The sequence below is a fragment of the Homo sapiens genome, chromosome 16 (assembly GCF_000001405.40).
Source record: "Homo sapiens chromosome 16, GRCh38.p14 Primary Assembly".
Lineage (NCBI taxonomy): Eukaryota > Metazoa > Chordata > Mammalia > Primates > Hominidae > Homo > Homo sapiens.
The window spans coordinates 73,454,333-73,466,519 of NC_000016.10; the positions used below are offsets into that span (position 1 = coordinate 73,454,333).

At 42.0% G+C, this 12,187-nt stretch overlaps 1 protein-coding gene across 1 annotated transcript in view; it reads right to left on the reverse strand.

Annotated features, from left to right (window-relative positions):
- The window catches only part of ZFHX3 (zinc finger homeobox 3), a 1,109,046-nt gene that overhangs the window by 671,448 nt on the left and 425,411 nt on the right, over nucleotides 1–12,187 (reverse strand). Inside the window, exon 3 of the mRNA NM_001386735.1 lies at nucleotides 1,671–1,926. The gene's annotated coding sequence lies outside the window, so the exon portion shown is untranslated. The remainder of the gene's footprint in view (nucleotides 1–1,670; nucleotides 1,927–12,187) is intronic.

The following is a 12,187-nucleotide window of genomic DNA, read 5'->3' on the forward strand; positions in this document are numbered from 1 at the left end:
AGATGATACAAAGATGGTAGGTTCTTTGAAGTAGACTCGACAGACTTAGTGGAAATTTTGAACCTGATGCCGATCCCAAAGGAATAAATATCTCAAGAGGAGTTCATTCGTGTTCTTTGAATTCCCTAAGACAGTAATGGGACCATTCAAGCTACCAAATTCAGCAATTTTCTCAGAAATTTGACTTAGGTTAGTTAGCAAAAATGAGGCTCTGTTTCCTCACTCTCACAGCCAAATTTCTCAAAAAAAAAAAAAAAGCCATTTACACAGATCTCAATTTCTTTATTTTTCTATTCACTCCCCAGTCCATTCTAAGTCTTCACAATTACTGCTTCCTTTTCCCAGTTAGGGTATCACCCCCCTCTCCCCCACCCACCCAATAAAGAGTGTGTGTGGCTCAGGGAGAGGAGCGAGACTACAAACACAAAAGCAAAGATATATCTGCTTTGCATAAGTTACATCCTGTCCTTTCAATCACAAATCTTCTATAATGTTATGCAAATATTCAAGACTTTTCCATCATTTATGATAACAGTGTTGGGAAAGCTAGGATATTCAAGTATAAGACAGTTAAAAAAAAAAAAAACTACAATAGAAAACTAACCTGGGCTTTGATTTATCTTCTCCAAGTTCAGACCAAATGAGAATGAAGACCTTTTATGCCAAGAACATGCTACTTATTTTTCACACGATTTACAAATGGAAGCTTGTCATTACAAATCCCGATGTGACTCTTTTTTGAACCATCATGACGTTGTCAGGTGTCCATCACAGATGGAGTAGCTCATAAAATTAGAATGACCCCTTGATAGAAAACAAGACCTACACAGACCTGGTTTTCATACCAGCCACACCTGCTTTTGGAACAAAGGTGAATGCATTTAGTTCATAAAAATAGCACCTCTTATCTGAGAGGTCCAAATGCTTCCCAGGAACTTTACATTTGCATTCTCAGAGTTTGGAAAAAGTGGAAAATTGATTGCGAGAATAGAGATCATTCATCCAGTTCCTTAGTGCATCATAGGAACATGCAAACTAAAGAGTGAAAATAAAGACCCAGGGGGCTAAACAAAATGGAACATACATGATGGTTCTACATTCTTCCCACCCCAGAGGTCCCTTTGTTGCCTGTCTCAACTCAAGAACATTCCATGAAAAGAAAGGTGATGCTGAAGAGAGACCCAGGATGTGTATGTGGAAGCCAGCAAAAGCTCATAATTCAATGAAGTCATTTCATTCCCTTTACTTTCTAACAAGCTCCAACCCATTCAAAGGACTTATTAGAATTTCAAATGAAAAGCTGAATACTATGAGCATTGTAAATCAGCTACAAACAGCTTTTAAAACTGTGTCAGGAGAAATACACTTGTAATTTTCTTCCTTTTTTTAAAATATTGCTTTTTTTTTTTTTTAACTTCAAAGCTTTGTTTGTTAAGAAGCAGTTACCAATTTATTTCTACAGAAGGAATCTGATTTTGGTTGGAGTGAGGGGGCCCAATTGGAGCAATCCTTTCACCTGGGTTGGTACGCGCTCCCAGCATTATACCGATTTGTGGCACATGCACTACTATCCAGGTGCTGGGTGTCCCTTGACAAACCACATTGCGTTATTTATTTTATTGTTGTTCTTCTTCAGATTTCTTAGAACCCGAAGCAGAAATATCCCTTACCTGGGAAGAACTGTGATTCAGACTCCTCCAGTCCTGGAGACCATATGTGGTCTTTAAAAATGTCCAAACAAGAATAGGATGCCAGGGGAGCCGTCCGTCTAACGGGGCCAGCGGGCAGCAGAGTCCTCCTCAGGAGTCAGGAGCCTTTCTCCTCTTGCAAGGATGTCCCGCAATCTCTCATATGTTCATCTCCCTGAGAACTTGACAGGGTCGTGAGACAGGGATATTTTATACTTGTTCCTTGTTCTCCAAGTCCCTGGAAAGAAAAGAAATAGATTTCTCAATTTGTAAAAATCTTAAACTGAGATTAATTTTCAAATAGAAGAGATACATTCCTCCCCACTTTCCCCCTCCCTTCCTTCCTCCTTTATCTTCTTCTGCAGCACAGAAGGCCCATGTGATTACCTAGATCACCTTCCACACTACCCAAAGCAAAAAGACGAAGTATCACAGCAGCTATATCCACAGGAAAACATCCACAGCAATTGGGCGTCCTTGGTGAATGTTACTTTCTTTACACAGAACGCTTACCACTAACGACTTGCAAAACATAGGACACTATGTTCTGATAGGCAAGACCACAGCCAGCTTTGACAGAAAGAAGGTGCTACTCAGAATCACAAGCTTCTTTCTCTCTTCTGTTTCAGTTCTGAAGAGTAGCTGCTCCAATGTCAAAATGAAAATTACAACCTCCAAATTAATAGAGTGCCGCTCCAAGGCCTGGAGAGTGGGATCCAGATGCACCTTCTATCGGGATGGAAAAGATTTAATCAAGCTGCACTGACTATTTATTGAACACAGAATTACTAAGCATCAACTACTGAAAACCATATGCATGACCTTTAAAAACTGATAATTCTCTGCTGGCCTCCCCTTTAAATCTTGCAATTATATTCCGAGCAAAATACTTGAACAGCCAAGTCAGAGGAGTGCCCCAAAACTCCGCTTCAGCGAGGCGTAATAGAAGGGTCTGGGGCTGTTGAAAGGGACAGATTGGAGATAACATTCAGGTGGAAGGAAATCTACTGATTACTTTGGTTAGAAATGGAGGTAAAACCACCACATATAGAGGGTAGCGGAGCCTTGTGCTTCTGAGCAAACTGGTAGAACCACTCTCTTCCCTTTCCTGCACCACCTCCCCCAACCAGCATAACCCTCTTCCTATTTTGGAGAATTTTTATAGAGGAAAGTGACAGTTTTCTTCCAAGAGGTGGCATCTCTCTGGAAACCATCCTGGTGGACAAAGCGATAATGATGAGAGGCCCCCATGAAAGAGAAAATGCTGGCATCAGGAATGGAGACCATGAGGTCTGGTCTTTCAGGGACAGTTTCCCCCATCGGTGGCAGCCCCAGAGCGCCTGGCTTTGACTGCATCACGTGAGCTGGAAAGTTTCCTTCTATGCAAATCTGCATTATTAGTAGAAGGGCCTTGAATAAGCTGCTGAACCTCTCTGAACCACATTCAGACACTTACAAAACGAGGGAGTCGGCCGGGCACGCTGGCTCACTCCTGTAATCCCAGCACTCTGGGAGGCCGACGTGGGTGGATCACTTGAGGCCAGGAGTTCAAGACCAGCCTGACCAACATGGTGAAACTCTGTCTCTACTAAAAATACAAAAATTAACCTGGCGTAGTGGCGCATGCCTGTATTCCCAGCTCTCCTGGGAAGGCTGAGGCATGAGAATCGCTTGAGCCTGGGAGGCGGAGGTTGCAGCGAGCCGAGATTGCACCACTGCACTCCGGCCTGGGCAACAGAGCGAGACTCCGTCTCAAAAAATAAAATAAAATAAAATAAAAATGAGAGAGTCATACCTACTTCATGGTGATGACTCAGTGAAGGAATGCATGGGAAGTTCTCAGCACACAGCCTAGCTCTGAAAAGCTTGATTGGAGTTCCTTTCCATCCCAACTTCCTTCCCAGGAAGATGGAGACACTAGCTAGCTAAATAAGGGGCACTTAAGCTCAGGTGTTTAACAGATTCTCCAGCACTTTATAGGTGCTGGCTTCACAGGAAGGCACTTGAACCATTTTGTCCTGCACCATCCCGCAATAGACACCTGTTCTTGAAATGACTTGGTTTTCATTTCTCTGTTTCCTGGTTAGTCAACAGAAACATCTATCTTTATAGAAATTACTTTCAAACCCCTTCTCTCTCTTATTATGCCTCTTTCTCTTTTTCTTTCTTCCTTTTCTATACACATTTTCAGCCCCAGAGTGGTTACCTGCCAAGACACCCAAGTAGAATTCTTTTTTCTTTTCTCCTTTCTTTCTTTCTCTCTTTCTCTCTCTCTCTTTCCTTCTTTCCCTCCCTTCCTCCCTCACTTCCTCCCTCCCTTCCTCCCTCCCTTCCTCCTTTCCTCCCTCCTTCCTCCCTCCCTTCCTTCCCTCCCTCCCTGAGTCTTACTCAATTGCCCAGGCTGGAGGGCAGTGGTGCAATCTTGGCTCACTGCAACCTCCGCCTCCCGGGTTCAAGCAAATCTCATGCCTCAGCCTCCTGAGTAGCTGGGATTGCAGGAACCTGCCACCACACCCTGCTAATTTTTGTATTTCACCATATTGGCCAGGCTGGTCTCGAACTCCTGACCTCAGGTGATCCACTCACCTCGGCTTACACCTGACTTTTGAACTGCTCTTTAGACCCCTGCTTTTTGTCTTGATGCGGGTTGGCTCCCTCGGTCACCTCTCCCTACCCCAGGTCACCCCCAACCTTTATCGCATTTTCTTATGCTTTTGTATGATAGTTTTCCTTTTTAGTAAAAACATTTAAAATGATTTCCGATTGTCTGCTCTGTAAACTCTTTTCCCTGTTTTAAATAATTAAGGAATCAATATCATTTTAACATATCTGTAAGTCTTCATATTAGTAACAACTGAAACCTCCGTACGATGACATGGAGAATAAACATCCCTGTCTATAGCATTCTAAACGACTTACCCAAGAAGCTCATTTGCCTAATTACTGGAGTTAATGAAACTCTTCCATCTGCTTTTAACGTCTCACTTTCTATCACACCTATCTGCCCTGTTTATGGGTATCAGTAAGATGGGCAATAGCAAAGAGTAGACACGTATGTGAGACATACTGAATAATTCCTCCAAACAGACCAGAGAAAACACAAAAAGTTAATTTTAAATGGAAAAGCTCATGGAGTCCCTGGATGTGGTGAGTTCCTTCTTATAAAAACTAACCTTTTTATTTTGAGATAATTGTTGATTCACACGCAGTTGAAGACACAATACAGAGGTAAATGTATATGTATCATTTGCCATTTCCTCTGTATTAGTCCATTTTCATACTGCGATAAAGAACTGCCTGAGACTAGGTAATTTATAAAGGAAAGAGGTTGTCTTTTTGTTGTTGTTTTTTTTTCTGAGATGGATGGAGTCTCATTATGTCGCCCAGGCTGAAGTGCAGTAGCACTATCTTGGCTGACTGCAACCTCCACCTCCTGGGTTCAAGCAATTCTCCTGCCTCAGCCTCCCAAGTAGCTGGGATTACAGGCACATGCCAACACACCAGCTCATTTTTGTAAATTTTTTTTAAGTAGAGATGGGGTTTCACCATGTTGGCCAGGCTGGTCTCGAACTCCTGGCCTCAAGTGATCTGCCCGCCTTGGCCCTGCAAAGTGCTGGGATTACAGGTGTGAGCCACCACGCCCAGCCAGGAAAGAGGTTTCATTGGCTCACAGTTCAGCATGGTTGGGTAGGCCTGAGAAAACTTACAATCATGGCAGGAGATAAAGGGGAAGCAAGGCGCCTTCCTCACAAGGTGGCAGGAAGGAGAAGTGCTGAGCTAAGGGGAAAGAGCCCCTTACAAAACCATCAGAGCTCCTGAGAACTCACTGACTATCACAAGAACAGCATGGGGGAAACCACCCCCGTGATTCAATTACTTCCACCTGGTCTCTCCCTTGACACATGGTGATTATGGGGATTACAATTCAAGATGAGATTTGGGTGGGGACACAAGGCCTAACCATATCACCTCCAATGATAATATTTCCAAAACCACAGTACAATATGACAATCAGGATAGTGACCTTGATACTGTCAAGATACAGAATGGTTCCATCACCACAAGGAGCTCTCCTTTGGGCCACACCCCCTTCCCTCCCATTCCCACTCTCTCCTTAACCCTTGGCAACTACTCCTCTGTTCTCCATATCTATAATTTTGTCAATTCAAGAATGTTATATAAATGGAATATTACAGTCTGTAAACTTTTGAGATTGGCTTTTTTTCACTCAGCGTAATTCTCACATGATTCATCTAAGTGGTCGCCTGTATCAATTGTTTGCTCTTTTTTATTGCTGAGTAGTATTTCATGTTATAGATATTCTACAGTTTGCTTAACCATCTACCTACTGGAGGACAACTGGATTGTTTCTAGTTTGGGGCTATTACAAATCAAGTTGTTATAAATAGTCATGTACAGTATTTTGTGTGAACACAAATTTCCATAAATGATCTTTGTGGTATAAATATCCAGGAGTGCAGTTGTAGGGTGGTGTAATTGCTTGTTGTTGTTGTTGTTTTTATGAAACTCCCAAATTGTTTTCTAAAGTAGCTGTGTCATTGTACATTCTCACTAGCAATGTATAAGTCACTTGATTTTTCTGCATCTGATATAGTTTGGATATGTGTCCTTGACCAAATCTCATGTTGAAATGTAATTCCCAATGTTGGAGGTGGGGCCTGGGTGCAGCTAATTGGATCATGAGGGCAGTTTCTCATGAATGCTTTAGCACCATCCACTTTGTGCTGTCCTCACAACAGTGAGTTCTCGTGAGATCTGGCCATTTAAAAGTGAGTGGCACCTCCCTGCCACTTTCTTGCTCCTCCTCTGGCTACGTGATACACCTACTCTCCCTTCGCCTTCCAACGTGATTGTAAGTTTCCTGAGGCCTCTCCAGAAGCCCAGCAGATGCCAGCATCATGCTTCCTGTACAGGCTGCAGAACTGTGAGCCAATTGCCTCTCTTCTCTTTATAAATTACCTAGTCTCAGGTATTTCTTTACAGCAATGCAAGAACAAACTAATACAGCAACCTTGCCAGAATTTGGCATTGTCACTGTTTTTAAATTATTTATTATAATAGGTTTGTCATGATATCTCATCATCCTTTTAATTTATGTTTCCCAAATAGCTAATGATGTTGAACATTTTTCCATGTGCTCATTTGCCATTTGTGTACCATCGTTGCTGAAATGTCTCTTCATGACATTTGCCCATTTTCTAATTGGATTGTTTATGTTCTTACTGTTGAGTTTTAAGTGTTCTTTATATAGTCTAAATACTAGTCCTTTGTTGGATATGGGGTTTCAGGTATCTTCTCCCAGTCTATAGCTTATCTTTTTGTTTTCCTCTTAAGGCCTTTCATAGAGTAAAAGTTTTTAAATTTTTTGGAGTCTAAGTTATCAGTTTTGCTTTTATGTGTCAAGTCCAACAAATCTTTTGTAGTCCTAGATCCTGAAGATTTTCTCTTCTTTTTTCTAAAAGTTGTATAGTTTTATGTTTTGCATTGAATTCTGCAATCCACTTTGGATTCATTTTCATGTATGGTGTAAACCAAGATTGAGGTTCACTTTTGTTTACCTATGGAAGTCCACGTATACAAGCAGCAGTCACTGAAAGGCTAGCTTTCCTCCACTGAACTGCTTTTATACCTTTGTCAAAAATCATTTGTAAGTATTTGTGTGGGTCTATTTCTGGGTTTTCTATTCTTCTTCATTATCCGTGTAACAATACCACACAGCATTGATTCCTATAGCTATTTAATTAGTCTTTAAACTGGCTAGATGATTCCTCTCACTTTATTTTTCTTTTTCAAAGCTGTTTTAGCTATTCTTGTTCCTCTGTCCTTCCATAAGTATTTTTGAATAATTTTCCTATATTACAAAAACTTGCTGGAATTCGGATAGGAATTAGACTAAGCCTATATATCAGTTTTGAGGAAAATTGACATCTTTCCTATGCTGAGTCTTCCATCAACATTGAATGTCTCTCCATTTATTCAGGTCTTCCTTGATTTATTTCATCAGCACTTTGCAGTTTTCAATATACAAGTCCTGTACATGTTTTGATAGATTTACACCTGCGTATTTTTTTTTAGCTATGGTACATGATGTATTTTTAATTTGGTTTCCATGTGCTCATTGTTAGTATACAGAAGTGCAATTGCTTTTGTGTAAGTTTATCTTATGCCCTGTGACTTTGTTGAAGTAACTTATTCATTCTAAAAGCTTTGTCATTATTGTTTTTTGTAGATTCCTTGGGATTAAAAACATTTTTATTCTAATCCTAAATTTCCTTATCCCTTGAGATTTTCAATGTTGACAATTATGTATTTTGCAAATAAAAATACTTCTTTTTCTTCCTTTCTTATCTGTGTACCTTTGATTTCTTTTTATGACCTTAACACATTGACTAGAACTTCCAGTACTATTTGGAATGAGAGTGTTAAGAGTGGACATCCTTGCCTTGTTCCTGGTTATAGCGGAAAAGTGTTCAGTCTTTTATCATTAAGTATAACACTAGCTGTAGGTTTTTGTAGATGCTCTTTATAAAGTTGATGAAGTTACTATTTCTTTATTTCTAAGAGTTTTTATCATGAATAGGTATTCAATTTTGTCAAATACTTTTCTGCATCAATTGATATAATCATGTGATTATACATTCCTCTTCTTTAGCCTGTTAATATGGTGGATTATATTGATTGATTTTTCAATATCTAACCAGTCTTACATCCCTATAATAAATGCCACTGAGTCACGGTGTATCATTCTCATTATATAATGTTGAATTCTATTTGCGAACACTTTGTTAAAGATTTTTGCCTCTATGTTCATGGGGCATACTGGTCTGTAGTTTTCTTTTGTACTATTTTAGTCTGGGTTTGGCATCAATATAGTGTTAACAACATAAAATGAATTGGAAAGTGCTTCTTTTCTGGATGATATTGAAATTGTGTAGAATTGGTGTTAATGCTTCTTTATATGTTTGTCAGAATTCTTCAGTGACTTTTCTGATACTCCAACTCCCCTTCCAGATCTTACTGCCCCAACTCCTCCCACAATTATGCAAGGTCTGAAGTCTATAATAAATTTCTTAGTCCATAATACTCATAGTTTCTGCTTCCCTGATTGAACCCTGATACCTTAAAATCATTTGCTATTACAGTGGAATAATAGTTAACATTTACTAAGTACTTAAAACATGCCAAGCACTTTACAATTGTTATTTCATGTAAGTAATCCCATTAAGAAAGTGATATTGTCCCCTCAACTTTACAGAAAAGAAAACTGAAGTACAGAGAAGTTAAGTAAGCTGTGAACAGTCACACAGTAGGGATCAGAAGCAGGACAGAAATCAAACTCTTAGCCAGGCTGTCTACTAACGTTCTTTCTCTTGACCTCTAATTTCTCTCAGAAGACCAGAGCCTATGGTGCTGATACGATAGAAGGCATAGATTTGAGCCTGGATCCCATTCATCGTTTCTGGTATAACCTGTGCTTTTCATTTTGTTTGCTTTCCCTTTATACCCTCCTGCCGTTTCCCTTCTTTTCGTTATCTCTTCTTTTCTCTGCTCATTGAGGATGTTTCCTCTGGACTTTTTCCCCGTCGAACCCCTCCCCCCACCTTCCTATCACCTTTTATACTATTGGAAAGTGAATCAGACCCACAGGTGTGTGTTCTTCCAGATTCGCTGGCCCTCATATCATGAAGCACCAGCGTAAGAACAAGGGCAAGCCCTGGCTAGGGAGGTGGCTGGACGGATATGCAGTGCACTAAACAGAAGGGGCGTTCGTTACAGCAAGAGCAAGGGCAGCAGACACACACCTGCTGGAAACCAGAAGAAAATGGTCCGCAGTGACTCTGAGAAATTACCTTTCTTGTTCTGACTCCTTTTTTTGCTCACTTTGGGGTCAGTGAACTTATTTATTAAAACGTCTACCATGCCTTAAGAAACAGCATTAATGCATTAAAATAAACAATACTGTGGATGCAGAAATGAACATTTAAGTGGATGCAAACCAGATCCATTCCATTTTGAGTGTGTGTGTATTTCTGTATTTTTTTTCTCCTAAGTGCCTTTGCTTAGTAAAAGCCATCAAATATTACTGGGAATTATTACTAATTTGTAAACAGTCCTGAAGAATTAAAGGGAGAGAGAAAGGGAATGAGTAAGTGGAAGAAAGAGAGAAAGAGAGAGAGAGAGGGAGAGAGAGGTTAAGCTCAAAGGCAGAGAGAGCGAAATGGACCAGATTATACAAAATTAAAAAGCAAATACGAGGAGACAATTTGTGCCGAGTGATTGCAAGCAATTACAGTCCGGCTCTTCTGGAGGGAAGATGGGGGAGGGGGTTATTTCAGCTTAAAAGGAGACTTTATTCATTCCTGATCAGCTTCTCCAACCATTCTCTCTTTTATTCTTGGATATCAATTTAAGAAAAAAAAAAAAAAGTCAGCTTTCAGATGTTACATGTTCACCCCTGTGAATCCAGCCCTGGGCAGACAGTGAGAATTTAAGCTTCCAATCGGTTCTTTCTATAGCCCTGAAAACCAATTTGTTCATAAAGAATAAAATAAGGGGCGGGGGGGAGAGGGGAAAACACAACACGAGCATGTGTTTCTTTTAGAGGAGAGCTTCAATTTTACTATAATTGTCTAAAGACGGAGCTGCTTTGATCTGAAGAATTATTATTGTGCCTCAAATGCCGGCTGCCAATGTCACAGCTGTGCTGGGGCTCGGTCACGCCAAGGGGCTTGGGGTCCAACTTAGTCCCAGACCCGCCTTTGGGTCCTTCTCTCTTTATCGTTCCTTTGTCAAATGGGAAAGTTCATTTTCCTAGTATGTCCATTGACCATCGAAGGCTATGGCATGGTTGATGTTGTACAGGTCCCTTGGAAGGCCTGGACACATGGTGGTGACATCACAGGGGCCCACCAAGGCTGGGCGGGAGGGGAGAGCCTCGCCTTCACATGGGCAGGCAGGCTGGATGTGCACATGCCCTAAGCAGGCTGGCACGATCATTAGATGAGAGGACCCGGCACACCGGCCAGCTGCTCTTGCTCATCTGTGTCTCCTCAACTCATGCTCGAGGTCAGAAATGGTCTCGGTACTTGAGAGAGACACAGCGGACCCTTCAGCACACTTCCCTGATTTCAAGGCTTGGAGTTCATAGTTATTATCCCTCACTCCAGCCCGTGCTGCGCCAAAGCAGAGGACAGCTCAAAACACAGAATTAAACATGTTTCTTTCAGACGCAGAATGGCTAAAATCTAGATGGAGGGTCTGAGGGCTAAGCCAAGTCTTCAGGGCGTGTATTTTCCTTCTCATGGCTGAGGAATAGACCAGGGGAATCTCTTCTGTATCACTTCCTTGGTGGGCCAGGCAGGAGGGACCTGTCCACCCTCATCTCACATCCCGCCACCTCGAAAGCTGCCTCGCCCGTCTCCTCCTGGTGCCTCTGAGGTCTCACTGGAGACTGGAACGTCCTCCTTACCTGCTCCTTCTCCGGTTCCCCATCACCTACAGCATCGTCCACACTCTCTAGCTCAGCATTCAAGGCTCTGCAGGTAAGCTGCCCTGCCCAGTCCTGCTGCCCTGCCTAGTCCTGCACCCCAGGTGAGGAGCCCCTCTGCTGTTTCAGAACACATCATCGAATGCTCAGCTCTGGGTCTTTGCTTACGTCTTCCCCCTACCTGGAATACAACTGCTTCCTTTTCTCCTTGTCCCTTGAGTTCTTCTCTCCTTTCTTGGCTCCGCTTCTAACTCAAAATACAGATCAGGTGGATAAGAAAATGAATTACTCTGAATGGACTGTGAGACTAAGTTCCAGGGGCAGAGCTATCTAAACAGCCCAGGTTATAGTCTAGGAGGCCGTGACAGTAAGGAGATGACAGGCTGCGAGGGACAACCCCCACTCCCACCCCACCCCCTCACCTCTAAGCCACGGTTTCTCAAACTGGAAGAATGCACAGAGCTCTTCACAAAGAAAATGTGGTAAAACACAAGAATGTCGGTGAACCCTTGGGGTCTGAAGATTCCAGTATGAAAAACATTGTCATAGGAAACAAACAAAAACCCAGCAGCATGAAAACATGAACTTAATTATAGCTCTACAAAGCAGGAGGCCCACATTCTGCACAGAAATCATTCTTTTCAATCGCATGAAAAAAAAAAATGCACCTAGGCCAGGCACGGTGGCTCATGCCTGTAATCCCAGCACTTTGGGAGGCCAAGGCAGTTGGATCCATTGAGCCCAGGAGTTCGGTACCAGCCTGGGCAACATGGGAAAACCCTGTCTCTACAAAAAAGTAGGAAAATTATCTGGGCATGGTAGTACACACCTGTGGTCCCAGCCACTTTGGAGACTGAGGTGGGAGGATCACTTGATCTCAGGAGATGGGGTTGCAGTAAGCTGTGATTGCACCACTGCGCTCCAGCTTGGGTAACAGAGTGAGACCCTGTTTCAAAACCACCATCACCATCACCACCAAAACCCCACATCT